Source organism: Homo sapiens, chromosome 5 (genome assembly GCF_000001405.40).
Source record: "Homo sapiens chromosome 5, GRCh38.p14 Primary Assembly".
In the NCBI taxonomy this organism is placed as follows: domain Eukaryota; kingdom Metazoa; phylum Chordata; class Mammalia; order Primates; family Hominidae; genus Homo; species Homo sapiens.
The window spans coordinates 176,169,831-176,191,926 of NC_000005.10; the positions used below are offsets into that span (position 1 = coordinate 176,169,831).

Below are 22,096 nucleotides of genomic sequence, written 5' to 3' on the forward strand. Positions count from 1 at the left end.
GAGATAAAACAAGAACTCTCAGTCAGTCATGGTCTTCTAAGCTGGCACTGCCTTTTTAGAGGTTAATTTTGCAGTCAACATTAAGTCTCAACAACACTCATCACCTTGACTTAGCAATTTCACCTCCAAGAATCTGGCATACTAAAACAATCAAAGATCAAATACATTCAGGTCAATAATTCTTCATCCACAATTACACAATCCAACAAAGTCTAAAAAATCTCTTGGCAGCAAAACCTGTCCTCAATGGAGGTGATGCTACTTATAGTTTCTATTTATCCCACTCAACTCATCAGATTGACCTTCAAAGTCATGCATAATTTGGCCCCAGCCTACTTTTCTGGGCTTACTTACCAATGCAGTCTCCTACAGGTGCTGTAAACCTGCCACACAAAACCCCTGGCTGTTCCCCAAACACAGCCCACGTTCCTCACAACAGTGCCGTTGCTGAGGCCACTGCTGCTTCCTGACAGCTCCTCCTTCTCCCACATCCAAGGCCTGGCACAGACCCCATCCTCCTTCCAAAAAGCATCAGAGATACCTGCCTCAGTCAGAGTTAATTTTTCACCCCCATGATTCCCAGGCACATTCTGGTACTGCTGGATGTAAGTAACTCAACCTCACATTCAGCTCTGTATCTGCTCTTTGCACCTGGCTGAAGTCTCAGAGAGCAGAGGCTAAATACTTCACGGCTCCCTAAATTTCTAAACACAGTGCTATATACTGAGTGGCACCTCTAGGTGACTACTTTGCACCCTAACGATGATAAACTGAGTGAAATAGTATCAGGTTTAATATACAGAAAAAAATTGTGGAATTCCATCACTTAATACGAGTGGCCATTTGAGTGCTGGCAGGAAGGAAGAAAAGGGGAGAAAAAAACAAAAAGTTGTGGCATTATAGCTACTGCAACAGAAAAGGAGAATAAAGCGGAGTGGCAAGATGAAGACCAGGGAAATGTGGGTGACTGCAGGACCACAAGAATCTTCCAAGCCTGTTGATAACATAAGTTTCTCATTTTCTAATCAGCTAGTGTGGCATACGTCGCTGTTTGGAGTCTTGTCTTCAAAATGTTTTCCAGCATCAAACACAACAATCTATGAGAAACCACATGGTGAGTAAGAGCAGCACACTCACGGCTCTGAAGAGCACAGCACAAGGCTGCAATAAAGACCCACGTATGTTCTCAACCTGCAGTGTGCTCAGTGCCTGCACATCACAACTCAGGTGATGAAGGGATGGCAGTTTTACATGAATTAATCAGTTTCCTTCTTAACCCCATGCCATTTCCCTCACCTGACCCACCCAAGAAAACACCCTTAAAAGGCTTCTCTCACACTGCTTACACATATTAAGCTTCTCGCCAATTGCCTGCACGTGCTCGGAGAAGCTTGCAATACCGTTAGTGTGTTAATACTCACACAGCTGGACCTCAGCAACACAAGGCTTACTAGAAAGCGAAGACAATAGCAAAGCTGGGCCCAGCAGCCGTTCCCTAAGGAACTCTTCGCCCCTTACACTGGAGCAATTGATCTCTCTGCTCCTCAACCAGGAACCGTAGAGCCCTACAGGGCACACAGCCAGTTACTAAGGACTCAGGGCCTGGAATGAAGTGTAGTATTTTCCTCCAAGAGCTTGTATCTGCTATAAACCAGTTTAATTCTGCTATAAACAAGTAGACTTCTAACTAATATTAATATAAACAAGCACTTTTTTTTCAGAGACAGGGTCTCACTCTGTCACCCAGGCTGGAGTGCGGTGGTGCGATCATGGCTCACTGCAGCCTCGACCACCTGAGCTCAAGCAATCCTCCTGCCTCAGCCTCCCAGGCAACTGGGACTATAGGCATGTGCCAGTGTGCCCAGATAATTTTATATATATACATAAACTTTTTTTTTTTTTTAGTAGGGATGTGGTCTTACCATGTTTCCCAGGCTGGTCTCCAACTCCTGGGCTCAAGTGATTCTCCCGCCTCAGCCTCCCAAAGTGCTGGGATTACAAGCGTGAGCCACTGCGCCCAGCCATTAACATTTCTACATGTGAAAAGATGTACAGAATATAAGCTATTAAAAAACATTAAAAATACTATGTCTCTCTTTTTTTTTTTTCTTTTTTTGAGGTGGAGTCTCGCTCTGTTGCCCAGGCTGGAGTGCAGTGGCACTATCTCAGCTCACTGCAAGCTCCGCCTCCCAGGTTCACGCCATTCTCCTGCCTCAGCCTCCCGAGCAGCTGGGACTACAGGCGCCCCCCCACCACGCCCAGCTAATTTTTTGTATTTTTAGCAGAGATGGTGTTTCACAGTGTTAGCCAGGACGGTCTTGATCTCCTGACCTCATGATCTGCCCGCCTCGGGCCTCCCAAAGTGCTAAGTATTACAGGCGTGAGCCACCACGCCCGGCCAAAATATTGTCTTAATATAACTTACTGTTGTAATGCCTAACCTTGTTTTTACTGTAACTCGCTATTTTTAAATTTTCCCTTTTGTCTCCTTAATTACCCAGCCTTGTTTCCCATATGAATAAGACTCTCCCTTAGCTGGGAAAGCCGGACAAACTCCATTTGGCCTCTTGATTAACAAGACATCAAGGGCTCCTTACCCAAACCCCTTCCTCAAGGCGTTAACCTGTGTAAGCAGATCCTCAGCATTTCAAAGGAGCCCAATTAACTGATAAGGTACTGGAACAAACAATGTATGAAGTTCCCAGGGTTTTGCTCAAAGAGATAACAGCATAAAGCCTTGAGTCCGTGTCTGGCAGAGCATCCATATCGAACTCTAATGAAGGATTTAGAGCCCCGCACCTGGTTCCGTTGCTTTTTTTGTAACCATTTGTCTTTTAAATTGTTTCTCCCTCTATAACCATTTGTTTTTTTGATTCTTGCATGTTTTTACTTCTGTAGAATTATTGCATTTGAGTTCCCCTCCCCTTCCTAAACCAAGGTATAAAAGTTAATGAAGCCCCATCCTCAGGGCCGAGAGAATTTTGAGCGTTAGCCATCTCTTTGGCCGCTGGCTTAAATAAACGACTCTTTTTTTTTTTTTTTTTTTTTTTTTTGAGACAGAGTCTTGCTCTGTCGCCCAGGCTGGAGTGCAGTGGCACGATCTCAGCTCACTGTAAGCTCCGCCTCCCAGGTTCATGCCATTCTCCTGCCTCAGCCTCCTGAGCAGCTGGGACTACAGGCGCCCGCCACCACGCCCAGCTAATTTTTTATATTTTTAGTAGAGACGGGGTTTCACCGTGTTAGCCAGGATGGTCTCGATCTCCTGACCTTGTGATCCGCCCGCCTCGGCCTCCCAAAGTGCTGGGATTACAGGCTTGAGCCACGCGCCCGGCCAATAATGGACTCTTAATTCGTCTCAAAGTGTGGCGTTTTCTCTGACTCGCTTGGGTATAACACTGTACTATGGGTTTGTTAAAAACTAAGGTAAAAGTCATTAAGAAAACAATACAAAGCATAAAAGAACACCTATCAAAATTACAAAAACTCCAAAATGAGCGGACAAAGATCCAAAAAAAACTAATAAAACATTTGAAAATTTACTTCAGCAATAAAATATAAGCTGACACAATCACATCGTGTCTTAAAAATAAACAGGTCAAAGAAAAGAGTATTTTTACATCAGTCCAGGAAAGTCAAAAGCATATACAGAGGAAGAGGTTTCTCCAAAACTCGTACACTCCAGAGGGCTGAGGGGCCCGGGAAATCCACTGGCTGGCGGCCCTTCCGGATGAATCTGCAAAACAGACAGAGGTTCGAGAGTCACTGGGGGGGCACAGAGGTGGAGGGAGGGGCGCTCCCTGGGGTGGGTGTGCAGGTCTCAGAGGGCTCCTCAGGCCCTAGAAGGTGGCCTTGGGCCCCTGGCCTCCCCAGAGTCCACCCACAGGGCACCAAGGCCTGTGTGCTGCTCTCTGCTGAGGGGGTTGTCTGTGCACAGAGTGTCTATAAATGTCCTGCAGGAGGCACTGAGCCCAGGCACGCACATGGGCGCCTTCAGGGGACTGGACCTCCAGATACTGAAACACAAAGAGCAAGGATCAACAGGCAGAGCCCCATGCCCCCGGGCCCTGGGAGGAGCAGGAGGTCTGATGACACAGGGTGGGGTGGTGACCTGCCCCTCCACCCAGACCCTCCACGCCATCCAGACAGAAGAGCTGCACGTTAAATGTGTGCCGCTTCCTGGAGCACATCATTGTTATCGCCCAATAAGACTTGTTCCTTCCAACATCCCCACCAACCCTGTCTATGCATTTTCATTCAAAAAATCATTAATGCTTTGCTAAAACATGCATTTCTCACTTAATACATTCCAGCATAAAAAGATTATGGAAACCACTGTTTTAAAGAGTAAAAAACTGTGTGTGTGTGTGACTGTGTGTGTACATATATACACACACATATCTATAAAATACACAAAAACACACACTCATATATGTTAATTTCAAATTGGAAAATACATTTAAAACAGTGACTTCCTGAATCCTGCCCCTCAACAACTCCTAAGTGAGCATGGCCCTGACTTGTCTTCACGAGTATTTTTGTTGGCATCTGACACAGACACAGAACCACTGATGCCCAAATCAGTGCTCTCTACACACAGAAGCCTCCAAACTCATCTTGAGAAATGGGGCCATGAGGCCACCCGAGGCACCGAGGGCTCCATGGAGGCTGGGGGGTCCCTGGGACTGGGCACATCCCAGCGGGTCTTGGATCCTGGCCTTTCCCCTTCTTGATGCCAGGACCTACTGAGTGCCCGCAGGTGTGCAATGCTGGGCTGGGTGGGCTGCTTGTGTGGCAAGAAGCCTGGGGCTGCCTCCCTCCCTCTCACACCTTTCCCAGCAGGCATGCAACAGGGGGATTCATGATCAACCCAGTGGCTGCTCATGTTGAATTGGTGAAGCTCCCTCCCTGTTGTCTTCTGGGGACATGGAGGGCAGGGCTGGGTCCCCTCAAATGAGCTTAAGTGGCACTGCAGACAGGAACGCGCTGCATGGCCCTCAGAATCCTGCATCTGGTAGCCTGACCAGCACCTCAGCCCCTCCCTCATTAAAGCAGCCTATGGAAGGCTCAGCCCGGTGGGCTCAGGGGCTGCTATGGAGAGGCTGTCTGCTCCCTGGAGGATGTTCTCAGGGCATCCTTCACTTGCCTTTAGGGATTTCCAGCATAAGTACAAAGGCCACAACAAGTGAGCTCAGGCTCTTCAGCAGCCTCATCCTTCAGCTCACTAGGTTTTCTGATGGGACAACAAGAGAATGAGGGCAGCCATGGGCACACAGGCATTGTCTGCCTTCCCCTGGTCATGCCGCCCCTGCACACTCACGTTTCTGCCTCTTCGGGGATTTTCCCCACTTTTTCTGCAGGTGCCGGGAGAGGGCTTGTTGGTATCTGGGAGGAAGACAACAAGTGCGCATGTCCAGAGACCCCAGTGCAGCAAAAGCCCCGGGGCGGAGGGGGGCGGCCACAGCAGACCCAGACGTCACTGGGAACCCTTCCTGCAGGGTGGCGCCAACTCTTCTGACCTCAGCCGGGCTCCCTTCCTAAACCCTGTGGGGTTGCTCAACAGGATTCAACGCTGCAGCCTGGGGACCAGGAATGGAGGCAATGCCAAGACAGCGGGCAGGAGGGCTGCAGGGGGACTTTATAGACACTGAAGACCCAGGACATTGACTGTCACGATGAGACCACCCAAAAGCACCCAAAATAAGAACAGGACATACCGAATCATGCTAAAAACCTAAGTTTTTATTGGAGGATGTTTCCTGTAAGTCCATGTTGCTTGGCAATTAAGTGATTTTGCCCCAAGGAGAGAATCAAGCTGCTGAGTGGCTGATGATGTCATTTTCTTCTGCCATCTTAAATCAAACCTCAGTGGGGAACAGACTCTCACTCTAAATTCTCCTTACCAAGGACACTGTGTAAGTCACCTATGATACATATGGTCAGATTCTCATATTTTAATTCAAATAGGGGTTATCTTTTTTCTTTGACAAAAGCAGGTGGCCTGACCTACGATGGTCCTGGGGCATTCTCATCTGATTCATATATGAATTCTTCCACGGGATCCTCTGTGCAACCTAGGAGGACAGAGTGACTGTCAGGAGGTGCAGAGAAAGCATGTTCCTCTGTGCAAAGCACGACCCAAAGATCAATGTTCTAGAGAAATGCACACACTCCCAAATACATTCACCATCACTCCACACGGACTCTCTCCTCCACATCTCCCCACCCCGATGCACCCTATTCCTATTTAAATGACATCACTGCTTCTGGGAACTGCAGTGGATGGCCACAGTTGTTGACTAAACTCTTCATTTTTTCACACCCAACTGCCCAACCTCATTTCTAGCAGGAAGCTCAAACCAGGGTGGCTCTCCAGCAGAAGTAGGGGGGAAAGTGTCACCTTTCTCAACACTAAGATATTTCCTTAGCAAATGGGTGACCCCAGAGTACGTACCACTTGCCCAAAGTGCTGAATCCCTCTGCAGAGAGAAAGGAAAACACTGTGAGCGTCAGACCATGCTGTGTCCTGTGTATACAGGTCTTTTCTTCAGTTGCTGACATTAGGAAACCAGACAAGAAACAGTGCTCGAGGTAATGGCCCCAAAATAAAGCCTAGAAGACACCTGTGGAAAGGCACAAGAGTTTCGTCTAAGACTTTCGATATGATTTTTGTTGCAAAGTCACCATTATTTTCTAACAGTAAGCATTTCTCCTGAGGAAAATGTTATCTGCATACAGTTTGTAACTGAAGGTGGCATCTATGCGTGCCATCTGGAGCCAGCTCCTAGTTGCTCATGAACTCTCACATTATCCCACCAAGAAATTCTGTAACTTATCTATAATGTCCATGGTAAGGTTTGCATATCTTAATTCAAATGAAATAGAAACCAAGAGAAATACAATTCCCATCTTAGTCAAAGAAAGATCTCACTTCGACAATGGCAATGACTTGCTCTGAGGACTCCCCAGGAAGCTCTGCTGCCACAGGCTTGACACCTAGGAAACATAAGAGTCACTGTCAGCTCATGGGAGCTGCTGAAGAATCCCTCAGGCAGCTTTGGGTGCTGTGGACAGGGGGCTGGCGTGTGTGGAAAAGGTGGGATAACAGCACAGGCTGAGCAGCTGCTGGCCGTCCTCCTTAGTGGAGAAGGAAAGCAAAGGAGACCATCAGGAAAGCCCTGGGAGACAGAGCCTTGGCTCTCTAGCTAAGCCACCCTCATCGGTGTGAAAGCTGATCTCAAACAGGGTACACCATACAATGTGGCTGTTTCAACAACAGCATCTCAGGGAGCCTTCTATTCAAACCTGAGCTAAGTTGTACTTTTTGTTTGAGATGGTTTTGCACTGTCACCCAGGCTGGAGTGCTGTGGTTCAATCACAACTCACTGCAGCCTCGACCTCCCAAGCCCGGGTGGATCCTTCGCCTCAGCCTCCAAGTCGCTAAAACTACAGATGCCCCCATCAAGCCCAGCTGATTTTTTGTATTTTTTTGTAGAAATGGGGTTTTGCCAGGTTGCCCAGGCTGGTCTCGAACTCCTGGGCTCAAGCAATACATCCACCATGGCCTCCAAAAGTACTCAGATTACAGATGTGAGCCACCGCTCCCGGCCTCTGCTGCCTTCCTGATCCCTTCTGAGGGCATTTACTCCCAGGACCCACCTGCGCTGCTGTGTGGATCACCCCTCCTAGAAGATTTCTTACATCATAAAATCAGCCCTTCTTTTAAAAAATATGCAATTCAGCCAAAATATTCTACAACATTTATCCGTCAAACATCTGTTTTAAGCAAAATTAAAGATTTGAAAATACAATTATCCTACCATTTAAACATGACATGTCACATGTGCTATCTGTCCTTCCGGTCTCCCTCTTCAACACACGCGTCCAGGGAGTCTGCTACTGCTCAGGCTCTCACTGGCTCTGACACTGGGAGAGCCCATCCTGGAAGCAGCAGGTGGGGGCGCTGACCCTCTCCATCCCAGCTGTGCAGGAATTCCAGCAGGAGAGATGGGCACCAGGCTAATGCCCAAGTTGTTCCTTGAGCTCCTGTTTGCTGCTGTGCCTTAGGTGCGTGTGCTAGTGAACTGCAGCATTTCTAAGGCTTGTGGTTACTATGTTCTTAAATACAACAGGACATGTCCTTGATTATTCTCTGCTCTCCACCAGGAGCTGAGGAATGAACCCATCATGCCGCCAAAACCCCCTGAGCTCTGCAAGTGTGCCTCACATTAATGACCACGCCAGATTCCACTGTAAAATGTAGCTATTCCTACGCGGTGTTAGGTGACCACTAAGACCGTCCTGTAATGACAGTGCTTAAAATCTCTACAGGCTGTCATACTTCCACATGCACACATAGGTGCTGAACTCCCTGGCATGCTGATGAGTTATGCTAGGGCTGTCTCATAAACGCGCAGTAGTAGCCCATCGCATCCATGTTTCACCCATTCTTGAGTTCACATTTGTCTCTTCCATTTAGGAGACCAAGAGCTCGGGAAATTCATCTCCACACCATCTCTATCTGAGGAGTGAAGACAGGAAACTTACCTTCAGATACAGCTGCCATGGAGGATGAAAGGGCTGATTGACGTGACGTGTACAATGGTGATGAATTTTGTGTTTAGAACAGTAATCCTTGTGTTGTGCTTTGTACATAGGAACATGCTTTCTGGGGAAATGCACACACGCGCCCAAAGACATTTGTGATCCCTTTACACAGACTCCCTCCTCCATACCTCCCACCCTGATGCACACCACCTTCTTCCATCTAAATGACACCACTGCCTCAGGGACCAGACTGGGATGCTCACAGTTCTTTACTAGACTTCCCCTCCCTTCCTGAGTCCTTCCAACATCATTTCCTCCCTAGAATCCACCTGTGGTGCTTCTGTGTGTATCACTCATTCTAGAATATTTTATACTTGGTAAAAACAGTATTTGTTCAGAGAGATTTCATTCCAGCCCCAATATTCTACATATTCACCAAACTTCTGTGTTAAAGACAATAAAACAAAGCTTTGAAAATACTCAATTATCCTCTATTTAAAGATAACCCCTACTTAGCAAGTGCTATCTGTCCTTGCACTCAACCTTCTCAATGCAATGTCTGTGTGTCGGGAGTCCCTTGCTGCTCACACTCACACTGGCTCTGACACTAGTAGAGAATGTCATGGGGGCAGCAGGTGGCAGCACTGACCATCTCCAACCCAGCTGTGCAGGAGGTTCCACCAGGGGAGATGGGTGGGAGGCCAACACCCAAGTTGTTCCTTGGGATGATATTTGGCGCTGTGTATTGATTGTGTTTGCTACGTAACTAAAGCATTTCTTTCCTTCTTTCAATAGCAGGTCTCTGTTACCAAAGCTGGAGTGTAGGGGCATGATCTCTGCTCCCTGGAACCTGTGCCTCCTGGGATCTAGTGATCCTCCCCAATCGGCCTCCCAGGTAGCTGGGACCATGGATGGACCACCACACTGAGGTAGTTTTTTGTATTTTTAGTAGATACGAGTTTTCACCTTTCTGCCTTGCCTCATCTCCAACTCCTGAACTTGCCTCAGCCTCCCAAACTACTAGGATTACAGGCGTGAGCCACTGTTCCTGGCCAACTGGAGCATTTCTAAGGCTTGTGATAATCATGTTATTAAATACAATAGAGCATGTTCCTGAGTATTCCCTGCTTTTGACCATGAGCTGAGAAATAACCCCACCACTACGGCCAAAAGCCCGTGAGCTCGCTATGTGTGTTTCACATTAATGGCCACATCAAAGTCCAGTGTAAAATGTACCTACTGCTACCCTGGGTTAGGCAACCTTTGAGACCTCCCTACAATGACAGACAGTGTTTGGGACCTCTTTAGGCTATCATCCTTCCACATGCAAAAACGAATGCCGGAAGTCCCTGGACTAATGGTGAGTTACGCCAGGGCTGGCTGCTGAATGCACAGTAGTCACCCTTTCCATCAACTCTCCACACATTCCTGAGTTCACATTTGCCTCTTGCATTTAGGAGATTGAGAGCCTGGGAAATCTGTACCATCTCTATCTGAGGAGTGAGGATATAAAATTTACCTTCAGGTACAGCTGTAGTGGAGGATGAATGGGTTAATTTATGTGAAGTGTGCAGTGGTGTTGCAATTTTTTTTTTAGGAAAATTGCTCCTTCGGTTGTGCTCTGCACAGGGGAACATGCTTTCTGGGGAAATGCCCACACAACTCCCAAAGACACTCCCAATCACTCCACACGACTCTGTCCTCTGTACCTCCCCACCCTGATGCACAGCACACTATTCCACCTAAATGACAATCCTGCCTCCCCGGACTCGAGTGGATGGTCACAGTTCTTTACTGGACTCAGTGTTTTTTATACCAAACTGTCCAAATCTCATTTCTGTCAGGAAGCTCAAACCAAAGTGTCTCTCCAGCAAAAGCAGACTAGTAAGTGCCACATTTTGCAACACTGAAGGTCTTTCCTTAGAAAGGAGTGCTCCCAGAATACACACCTTTCTCCTCAGCCTGTACCTCTGCCTGCATTGAGAGAAAGAAAAACACCATGAGCTTCAGACCATCCGAGTACCAAGTGCACAGGACTTTTCTTCACTTGGTGACATTAGAAAACCAGATGGAAAACAGTGTTCAAATCAAAGGAACACAGAAGAAGAACAGGGCAAACTGACTCATGCTAAAATTTTTCTTGGAGGATGTTTCCTCTCAAGGTCATGTTGCTAGGCAATTAAGTGATTTTGCCCCAAGGAGAGAATCAAGCTGCTGAGGAAAAAGCTCACTGCCACTCAGTGCATGGCTGATACTGTCGTTTTCTCCTGCCGTCTTAAATCAAGCCTCAATGGGGAACAGACTCACTCAGAATTCCCCCCACCAAGGACACTGTATAAGTCACCTATGATATATAGGGTCAGATTCTCATATCTTATTTTAATTCAAGAAGATAAAGCGAAGAAAGTAACTTTTTCCCAGACAAAACCAGGTGGCCTGACCTTCAGTTGTTGTGTGTCACTATCATCTCTGGTGTTCCTGCGGAGTCTCCTCAAGAGGGGATCTCTTGCCACTAGGAGGACACATAGTGACTGTCAGCAAGTGCAGGGCAGGAGCAGGGAAGAAAGGCTTTCTAGCCCTGACTGCCTCATCAATGTGAAATGGCCCATCTTAAACAGGGCATACCACCCAGGGCAGGCTGTGTGTCCCTGCAGCCTCTCAGGGCTCCTGCTTCTTAATCTGACCCGAGCTCACTTGCCCTCCCTTCCTGAGTCCTGCCAAGGTCATTTCCTCCCCAGAATCCACCAGTGGTGCTGCTGTGACTATCACCCCTCCTAGAGGTTTTCTACTCGATAAGAAGCAGGCTTTCTTTAAAGAGAAGATTTAATTCCAACCAAAACCTTCTATTTTTTCACTATCCATTTGTTTTTAGGACAATGAAATAAAGCTTTGAAAATACTCAGTTTTCCTCCCATTTAAAGATAACCCCTATTTAGCACGTGCTATCTGTCCTTCCACTCTCTCTTTTCCATACGTGTGTGTGTGTCCGTGGAGTCTGTTACTGCTCACACTTACCCTGGCTTTGGCACTGGGACAGCCTGTCATGGGAGCAGCATGTGGGGGCGCTGACCCTCTCTAACCCGGCTGTTTGAGATTCCAGCAGGGAAGAGGGGCACCAGGCTAACACCCAAGTTGTTTTTGACATCATATTGGGTGCTACTTCTTGGGTGTTTGTATTACTAAGCTGGAGCATTTCTAAGGCTTGTGGTCATCATGATTTTTGTTTTGTTTTTTTGTGGCAGGGTCTCACTCTGTTTCCCAGATGGAATGCAGTGGCACAATCATGGCTCACTGAAGACTCCACCTCTCCGGCCAAAGCAATCCTCCCACCTCAGCTTCCTGAGAAACTGGGACTACAGGAGCATGTCCCCACGCCTGGCTAATTTTTGTATTTTTTGTAGAGATGTGGTTTTACTATGTTGCCCAGGCTGATCTTAAACTCCTGGACTCAAGTGATCCTCCTGCCTCAACCTCCCAAAGTGCTGGGATTACAGGCATGAGCCTCCCCATTGGGTCCAATCATATCTTTAAATACAATAGGACATATCCCTGATTGTTCTCTGCTTTTGAACAAGAGCTGAGAAATGACACCACCACTGCAGTCAAAAGCCTGTGACTCCCCTATGTGGGTTTCACATTAAGAACCACCCCAAAGTCCACTGTATTGCTACCCTGCCTTTCGCCATCACTGAGAACATCTTACAATGCTGGGCAGTGTGTGGGATCTCTCTAGGCTGTCATACTTCCACATGCACACACAGATGCTGGAACTCCCTGGTGTAGTGACGAGTTATACCAGGGCCACGTGAGGACTGTGGAGTAGCAGCCCATCACGTCAACCTTTCACTCATTCCTGAGTTCACATTCGCCTTTCCCATTGAGGAAATTGAGAGCTTGGGAAATTCATCTCTCCACCATCTCCAATCTGAGGACCGGGGATGTTAAACTAACCTTCAGGTACAGCTGTGGTAAAGGATGAAGTGTCGACTGATGCGGGGATGGAATTTTGTTTCTAGAACATTGATCCTTGGGTCATGCTTTGCACAGAGGAACATGCTTTCTAGAGAAATGCACACACACTCCCAAAGGCATTCACCATCACTTCACACGGACTCTCTCCTCCATATCTCCCCACCCTGATGCACCCCTATTCCTATTTAAATGATATCACTGCTTCTGGGAACTGCAGTGATTGGCCACAGTTGTTGACTAAACTCTTCATTTTTTTACATCAAACTGCCCAACCTCATTTCCAGCAGGAAGCTCAAACCAGGGTAGTTCTCCAGCAAAAGTAGGGAGGAAAGTGTCACCTTTCTCAAAGCTAAGATCCTTCCTTAGCAAATGGGAGATCCCAGAGTGCATACTGTAGAGCTGAATCGCTGAGTGTGTCTGCAGAGAGAAAGGAAAACACTGTGAGCGTCAGACCATGCTGTGTCCTGTGTTCATGGGTCTTTTCTTCACTTGGTGACATTAGAAATCTGGTTGGGAGATGGTGCTCGAGGCAACGGCCCCCAAATAAAGCCTGGAAGACACTTGAGGAAATGCACAAGAGTGTTGTATGAGATTTTCAAAAACGATTTTTGGTTGCAAAGTCACCCCTATTTTCAAGAATGCATTTCTCCTGAGGACAATGCTCTCTGCCATGCAGTCTGTCACTAACACTGTCATCTATGAGTGCCATCTGGAACAAGTTCCAAGTTGGCAATGAATGGGCTCTCACATACCTCTGCCCACCAAGAAATTCTGTGGCTCATCTGTAAAGTCCGTGGTAAGAATTACATATCTTAATTCAGAGAAAATAGAAAGAAACCAAAAGAAATAAAATTCCCATCTCAGACAAAGAAAGAAGACTTTACCGAGTGTGCTGCCTGGATCAGGTCCCAAGAATCCAGCGAGAGAAACCGCCAATTCTGGCGGTAGAAGAAGCCTAGGAAACATAGAGTCACTGTCAGCCGTGGCAGCTGCTGAAGGACCTCTGGCAGCCTTGGGTGCTGAGGACACAGGGCTGGTGTGTGTGGAGGAGGTGGGTGAGAGCACGGGCGGAGCTGCTGCTGGGCCACCCTCCCTGGTGGTGAAGGCAGGCAAAGGACGCCATCAGGAGAGCCCTGGGAGACACAGCCTCGGGTCCCTGGCTAAGCCGCCCGCATCACTGTGAAGTAGGCAGTGTTCATACAGGCAGCCCTCATGACCAGTGAACACCCCAAGGGACCGACGGTCTACTTGGTCCCCAAGATGGCTCAGAACTCAGAACATTCTAAGCCAACCGCCACCTGATGGCTGTGCCAAGAATCAACTTCCCTTCAACTGACCAACCCTGCGTGAGCAGTTCACTGAAAATGTGGCCATCAGGGCTGGCGCTTAAGTGACTGAATGAATTAAATCTGTGACCCCCACTGTCTCACTGACTACTTATCTGAGCAACTATCTGAGCAGGCTGAACTAAGGCCTGCCTGAGAATGGGCAGTGTTTAAATGAAGCCTATTGAATAACTTGGAAGTCACACCTCATGAGAAGGGTACTCGAATTTAATGAGACACAGCGTGTGTTCAGTCATGCGTGAATACTGTATTACAGAGAAGTGTAAACAGAACTGCTAGTAACTTGAGCGGGGGGATACCTGGCTCTAACTAACAGCATGGGAGGCTTCCTGATCACCTGAAACAATCAAGACATAGCAAAAGGCCAAGAGTACAAAATCATTTTACATCTGAGGCAAACATTAGTATTTCAGACCTTTAAAATAAGCATTTTAGTATTACAGCAGCAGAATTAGAACCTGGGTGGGGGCGGATGAAAATTTAAAGGAGAGAGTTATCATCCAAGCCAAGTATAAAGATGCGCCTTTTCCAGGGGAAAAGAAACAGAAGGCAATGATGTGGGACCTGTAACTTAGGTGTAAAGAGACACAGAAAAATTCAAACCTCTGAGGTATAAATCTGAGAAGTTTAACAAAAAAAAAAACAGATTTCAGAAGAAAAAATTATTACCTCTTATAATTTCATTGAGAACAAATTATCTATCTTAACAAAAGCTTATTTCTAAACCAAAATTTTAGTTTGGTATTACTGTATTTTTAATATTGTAGCTAATTTTAAGAAGACCTTATCAATAAATCTATCTACCCCCGTCAGTTTTGACTACAAAGTAAGATTTTCATAAACCTTTTATAACCTCTAATAATTTTTCTATTTTGTAACTTTGTATATCCACTTGATTGTGTTTATGTTTTCAAAAGGTCTTTAATTTAAAACAATCCTCAAAACCTCTTCACTAGGCCACTGCGTTTCCCACCAGAAGATCGCAGTTTATTTTCTAAACATCTCTGGATTCCAGCTGTTTCAACATTTGATTTAAGATTTTCACATCTCAATTTAGAGGACTTTGGCCTGTCATCTGCCTTTCATGGAACGTCTCACACTGTCATCGGTATCAAGATCTCCCGATATGACCAAGGAAATGCTGTTGCGTTTCTTCTGGGTCTATTCTATGCAAGTGTGTATAAAATTGGCCTTGGAAACAGTACATTTTTCTAAACAGAGGAAAATATTTAAGGCAGAAAGCTTGATAGCAGAATCAAAAATACAAACTGAGTCATAAAACTCTAAAACCAATTTGTAAATCTCTAGACAAACTGGAGGTGGGGGAAAAATACATAAATCAGGAAAACATTTAAGTACAAGTGGCCCATCTGAAGAAACTGCAGTGAGAAGATGGAAATGAACCTACCTTCACCTTCACCACAGCAGCAGAGGCTGCCTCCCATTTTGGTGAGCAGTCTAGCTGGCAGTTCCAACACAGCGGCAGTTGAAACACAGCCAGCGACAGTTGAAACACAGTGGCAGTTGGGGTGGAAGACAGGATACGCATCATCACAGGACCTCAGCGACAGGTCATCAGAGAATGTTCAAATGAACACAGGAACACGTGCCACACTCTGGGGTCCAACTGCCGCTCTCTAGACCAGTGCACTTTCACAAGGACAAGGGGCCACTCAGAGTTCATTTCAAAATCAAAATCTGAATCCCACACCCACAGTACTATTCTCTGTGTATGAAATAAACGTTAAATGAGGAAAGAAGACCTGCCTTCCAAATATATTTGATAGTGAAAACTTCAGGGTGAAGAGGGTCAAAACTAACACATTCAGAATAAAATGAGGTTCCTTCCTTGACTTGAAATACTATCCCCATCCCTCTTACTATTCCTGAGTCATCAGCAATTTCCATATTCAACAATTTTAAATTTATTCCAGATGAAAGTTTAAAATGCCTTAGTATAAATTCAATTTTTTTTTTTTTTTTTTTTTTGAGACCAGAGTCTCGCTCTGTCACCCAGGCTGGAGTCCAGTGGTGCGATCTTGGCTCACTGCAACCTCCGCCCCCCGGATTCAAGTGATTCTGCTGCCTCAGCCTCCCGAGTAGCTGGAACTACAGGCATGCACCAACACGCCCAGCTAATTTTTGTACGTTTAGTAGAGATGGGGTTTCACCGTGTTGGCCAAGCTGGTCTTGAACTCTTGACCTCAGGTGATCCACCCACCTTGGCTTCCCAAAATGCTGGGATTACAGGAGGGAGCCACTGGGCCCAGCCTAAATTCAATTTTTAAAAGTCGATCTCTAAGAATATAACTCATAGTAATTGTATAAAATATCTTATCACCTATCTATATTATCTACTGTTTTTCTCTGTATGTAACTAAGTTGCAGACTTACTAATTTCCGAATCTCTCTGAGTTCTTGAGAGATTTCTCTGTGAAAGTATACATGAAAGATTGTCTATTCACTCACCTGGAGATGAAGAAAAAAGAAGCATTGTATGTTCAACATACAATGATGATTTTCTAAAATATAAAGGATGATTTTCTAAGTGGGGAGTTCTGATAACCTCAAACTCCAGGATTCAATGTGTTCGACTCATCAATCAACACCCAGTCATAGCCATTCTTATCTCGTCATGAGAATTAGCACTTGGAAGGCAACTGACAAGGTCCCCAAAAGACACAACAACTGAAAATTAGAGAATAAAAACGAGAGAGTTACCATGTTTAAGACAAAGTGGATACCCATTAAGATATGAAATGGCTCAGTGAAAATTTCCATCACCACAGATTCATCACAAGCTTTAAGAACTATCAAATCAAATGGGCACTGATGAGGTATAAAAACTGCATTAATACAGACCTTGCCAATTTTTCAGGGATTACCTAATTGAGAAGGTGACAGACAGGATTTGGGAAGGAGTAAGTAATATTACCTGTCTAAATGGAGAATTGTAATTGTTAACTGAACAGAAAAATGTGTGTTTGTTTACACATAATATACATATACTTGCATATATACATACATACATATACATGTATATGCATATATATATATATATATATGCATGAGACAGAGAAAGAGACAGTGGTGAGACTTAAGGAAAAACTGGAAAACAGATTCACATCTCCAATGCAAATTGGGGAAGAAATTGTTTTAAAAAATACAGAATACAGTAAAAAAATAAAACCATCTCACTGGAGGAACAGCATTGTAAAGCTACTTTTAAAAACGCAGCTCATTTATAGGGAATAGTTAAAAAGAGCAAACGGCTTTCCTTCCTGCTGCCACCTGAGTGTTTACAGGGAATGAAAACTAAATGGCTCTTTCACATTGGTAGGCAAAGCCCTCAGAAAGCTTTGTCACGGTGTCAGCGCTATATGATTGTTCAATTAATAAATCTGGAAAAATGTACAAAAACTAAACAGCCATTTCTTCCAGAGGCAGGAGCTGGCAGGCTGCAGAAGAGGGAAAGGAGGAAACGCAGACTTCAGTGTGTCTTCTTCTGTACCTTGTGAATGTGCTGCAAGTGTGTTATTCCTGGTGCGTTTATTGTGACTTTATTAAAAACATATAGATACCCCAAAATGCTGGTGTAAAACAACCATTTTCTTTTGTTGACGCTTCACAGGGATAGGAATTCACGCAAAACACAGAAAAGATATCTTCTCGCTACGTGTTGATGTCTGGGGCCTGCAGAGAAGGCTCACCGGCTGGGGCTGAATCCACAGCAAGGGGTTGGGATCATCCAGAGGGGGACATCACTCCCGGGCCTGCCGGGGTCATCGGGCTCGGCTGGAGGACCTACAGGAAACTCTCTGGTGTCCGGGGCTTCCAAGCAGTGGGGCAGTCTCAGGATATTCAGAGCCTTGACTGAGCGGCCAAGGGCGCCACAGGTGAGTGACTGGAGTAAACCAGAAAGAGACTCGTGGCCTTTTCAAACATAGCTTGGGAAGTTTCTCAGCATCCCCTCCACATCACCTGGCAGTGACAAGTGAGCACTAGTGCCTGGCCTCATGAGAAGAGGCATAGACGCCCACCTCTCAAAGAGGAGAATAGCAGAGAAATTGCAAACATGTTTAAAAAGCCACATGCAAATTCCCGTTTGAAAACCTCCAGCACAGAGATACCTCTCAAACATGAGATAAAAGACCTGCCGCTGTATGACCCAGGTCAAGGGTAAGACACCTGTGTGTTTTCCTGCTGCTTCAGCCACTGTGGGTTGACTGTCAAGTAAACACACACATTCAGGGAAATTAACCAGAGGGTTATGGAGTAACAGGGTAATGAAAGCTAACGTAGACCTGAAATGCTGCTCTACAAAGGAAGCATTTCATTCACTCTGTTAACTTAAAAAAAATCACAACATTTATACATTCAGAAAACAAGAGGAGACTCTTTTTCTTCACTTCATTTTAGGTTCAGGGGCTTCATGTGCAGGTTGTTACATGGGTACATCGTGTCGCTGAGGCCTGGTATAAGACCTAATTAAACCAAGGAGCTTCTGCCACAACCAGAGACTTGATTTCTTATGAAAGTTTATAGCCCGCAAGGTGGCCATCCTGCAGGCTGGGAAGCGTGCCTCCTGCCAAGGCCAGAGCCTGGCACATGGAAGGAGGGGGAGTTGGGACAGGAGCTTTACGCTGCACAGGCTGGCTGAATAGAAACCTTCGACAGGTTACAGGAGGAGCTGTGAATATTCACGAGGATGGTCCTGATGCATGCATACCAAACAAACATACATGTAACATAGGACCCATGTTCACCATGGGGTGGAGACATAACATTTAAATGTATTACAATTAGGCCCTATCCTCAAAAGGTCTTTTCAGGACACAAAGGCACACAAGTGCACAGCCTCTGTAAACCGGCCAGAGCCAGCCCATGGCGAGTGATCTCTTCCCGCGAGAGAGTTACTGAAATCGGTCTCCCGTCCAGTTGGAGCTCTAGTTATGGCTGGTGGAACAGGGCTTGGGGGCCAGTTACTCAGTGTCTGGTGGTGTGCTATAACTGTTAATAGTGCTTATTTAGCTGCTAGAGGAAAAGAAACCCTGTGGCAGTCGGAACAGTTTATTCCTTGTTTAGGGGTGTGTGACTCAACCCCTGCCTGGCATGGCTGCAGGTGCTGTTTACACGTTGGTACCTTACTGCCACAGAATCTGTTCTGTCCATCTTGTGACCTCTATTGGAACATGTATGCTGGACACTGGCTGTGTCTAAACATAAAAGGAAGGGGCAGAACGAGGCATCAGGTCGCCCATCTGCCATGGCCTGATGCCCTGCACTGAGCAAGGGTGGAGAGGTCTGGAGCAGGCTAGAGTGACAGGATGGTCCACAGGAGCCTCACTCTGGGAACAGCTGCCTCAGCTCATGGCTCCACGGTCCAGCTGCACTCATCTACAAGCCAGTGCTTCCATCTGGAAAACCTGACAGCCTGTCCTATTCCTAGTGCCCTGAGTTTAAGCATCTCTCTGCCAAACCATCAAGAAAACCCTGGGCTCTGCAGATGCATGAACAGCCTAGTGCATACACCAGGCACTCAATAAATGCCAACGACAGCTACCTCCCTGGTGTCCAATGAGGACAACAGTCACCGTCATGGCAGTGCAGTCTCAGTTCTAGACTTAAATTCCTTCTTCCCAACATGTGGAGCAGGTGACCCAGTGTGGGGTGCAGGGCCTCTGCAGACACCTCTCCTCCTGGGCCCCCAGACAGGAGGGGGTGGCCTGGAGGAGCAGCAGGAGGAGGAGCAGAGATGGGAGTCAGCCCTGGCCTCGGAGGCGCCACCATCTCTGCCCACACAGGCACAGCCCTCTCTTCCTCGAGGTTCTTCCTCCAACACCCGGCCTGAGCCACCCACTGAAGAACACGGACATCCCTCTCCCCATTCTGTGCGGGGAAACGGAGGCGCAGCACTCGCATCTCACACTCATGGTGGAACTGTGACCGGGACCCAAGTCTCCTGACACCCCTACAACGACATGCAGCCCTCTGCCTGGGTGGGGAGGGGGTCCGGGCACAGCTGAGGTTTGGGGGAAGGAGGTCTTCTGGGAATGTTCCCGGGGTTCCCGAGGATGGTGGTGACTCAGTGCCCATGGGAGAAATCAGATGATCCCACGCCCTCCTCGAAATGGACGGGGGCTCAGGCACTGATGAAGATGCCTCTGGATGAAGCTGCTTGATTGTTTCGGCAGAGAAATGCTTAAACTCAGGACACTAAAAATGGGACAGGCTGTTGGGTTTTCCAAATGCAGACAACGGGCAGAGGGCTCAAAGAGATGCCATTCCAATGAGAGGCAACTGGCCAGCAAGCCCAGGAAAAGGTGTCCAGCAGCACTGTCACCAGGGAAAGGCAAGCCAGAGCCACAGGGGAGATGACGCCGTGCACCCACTGGATGGCCAGAGTTATCTGACTCAACCACTGTGGAAAACAGCGTGGCAGCTCCTCAAAAAACAAAATAATTACCCAGCAATTTCACACCTGGGGCCTAGGTACGTACCCAAGAGAACTGAGAGCAGAGACTCAGGCATTTGTAACGGGAATGTCCCTGACAGCACTTTTCATAATCGCCAAAGGGTGGAAGGCACGCACATGTCTGTCCCCAGATGAACGGGTGATGGAACACTATTCACCCCTCTCAGGAACGGGGCCTGTTGCATGCCACAGTGTGGAGGAGCCCAGAAGACCTTATGCTGAGTGACAGAAGCCAGACAAAGGTCCAGGTGAAATGTCCCGAAGAGGCGAGGCCACAGAGACAGAACCCAGGGGCCGGGGGAGGGGAGAGCAGGGAGCAACTGTTTAATACGTATGGGGTTTCCTTTTGGGGCCATGGAAATGTCTTGGAACTACACAGAGGCGATGCCTGTGCAAAGCTCTAACGGTGCTGAATGCCACAAATCTCCCACTTAAAAATGGATAACTTTGGGCCGGGCGCGGTGGCTCACGCCTGTAATCCCGGCACTTTGGGAGGTCGAGGCAGGTGGATCATGAGGTCACGAGATCGAGACCATCCTGGCTAACACGGTGAAACCCCGTCTCTACTAAAAATACAAAAAAACAAAAAATTAGCCGGGCGTGGTAGCAGGTGCCTGTAGTCCCAGCTACTCAGGAGGCTGAGGCAGGAGAACGGTGTGAACCCGGGAGGCGGAGCTTGCAGTGAGCCGAGATTGCGCCACTGCACTCCAGCCTGGGCGACAGCGCGAGACTCCGTCTCAAAAAAAAAAAAAAAAAGTAAACCGTAATTATTTGCCACCCCAATTTCCCCTCCCTGCCCCCCAGCTGCTGGGCCCACCACCAGCCCCTGCTGTGCGGCCAGGACAAGGGCAGAAGAGCCGTGTGCAGGAGCGTGTGCAGGCACACCCCTGAGCACCCCCAGCCCTGTGTCCTCTGTATTCCAAGCCTCCCTTGAGGTGAGAAGGGCTGTGTGACCGGATCCCATGGAACACAGGCAAAGTGACAACGGCCCTTCCCAGGCCTCAAACCTCCTCAAGCCTCAGGCTCCTCGAGGCTCTGTGTTCCTCTGAGCACACGGCCGGGTACATGGGCTGGAGGTGCGGCCACCAGTCCCAGAGCCTGGAGGACATGCCAGGCTGTGCCACAAGCAGGACACGAGTGGACGGCATTAGCTCCCGAGACTGGGGGTGTTCCTGTCCCCAAATACAGTCTCACCTGCCCTCACAGGTACTGGTGGTCTGGAGGCTGGGCGAGCAAAGAAGATTCGAGCCCTTCCTGGGTCACGACTTTTCAAAGCTCTGTGGGGCGTCCTGTGTGTGACCTGCCAGAGGAGTCTCCTGCAGAGATGACCTGGGGGCTGCCCACCGGTGCTGGGTCCCACAGCCAAGGCTGGCCTCTTGCCACGGAAGAGCAACGTGCCCACGTCACCAAGCGCCTGTGAGCCCCGTTTCCCCAGGTGAGGAGGGCCGGGCCCAGAGCCCCACCTCTGCTCAGTGTCAGGCTGGAAGGGAGCTGGGGCTTCCCAGGGTGCAGCAGACACCCTACAGGCCACGGTGGAGGAGTGGGAGGGGGAGAAGACCAGAACAAAACCACTGGCCCACCCAGGACCAGTTCCGTCTGCCAGGTCTGTGCCAGCTTCAGTGGCAACTAAAGTGTGAGGAAGAAACCCAGGAAGCCCTCCCCACCCTCGCCCACCCCGGCTCATGCTGCACCCCCAGCTCCCCACCCTCGCCCACCCCGCCTCAGGCTGCACCCCCAGCTCCCCACCCTCGCCCACCCT

General features: G+C 47.8%; 1 pseudogene across 1 annotated transcript in view, besides 1 other annotated feature; it reads right to left on the bottom strand.

Annotated features, from left to right (window-relative positions):
• CEP192P1 (CEP192 pseudogene 1) overlaps positions 1 to 22,096 on the bottom strand; it is a 56,211-nt pseudogene that overhangs the window by 26,746 nt on the left and 7,369 nt on the right. The window contains exons 2-15 of the transcript NR_036494.1: positions 17,573 to 17,766; positions 16,332 to 16,550; positions 15,271 to 15,512; positions 13,401 to 13,471; positions 12,855 to 12,933; positions 10,986 to 11,056; positions 10,494 to 10,518; positions 6,929 to 6,993; positions 6,452 to 6,620; positions 6,004 to 6,071; positions 5,318 to 5,382; positions 5,144 to 5,230; positions 3,676 to 3,733; positions 1,923 to 2,033 (exon numbers count right to left, since the gene is read on the bottom strand). The product of NR_036494.1 is annotated as a CEP192 pseudogene 1 (transcript). The remainder of the gene's footprint in view (positions 1 to 1,922; positions 2,034 to 3,675; positions 3,734 to 5,143; positions 5,231 to 5,317; positions 5,383 to 6,003; positions 6,072 to 6,451; positions 6,621 to 6,928; positions 6,994 to 10,493; positions 10,519 to 10,985; positions 11,057 to 12,854; positions 12,934 to 13,400; positions 13,472 to 15,270; positions 15,513 to 16,331; positions 16,551 to 17,572; positions 17,767 to 22,096) is intronic.
• Positions 13,700 to 14,290: an enhancer, noted in NCBI's record as "NANOG-H3K4me1 hESC enhancer chr5:175610533-175611123 (GRCh37/hg19 assembly coordinates)". NCBI's record gives its function as "activates a minimal SCP1, AML or CMV promoter by ChIP-STARR-seq in naive and primed H9 embryonic stem cells {active_cell/tissue: H9 hESC(naive and primed)}" and the evidence as "EXISTENCE:reporter gene assay evidence [ECO:0000049][PMID:30033119]".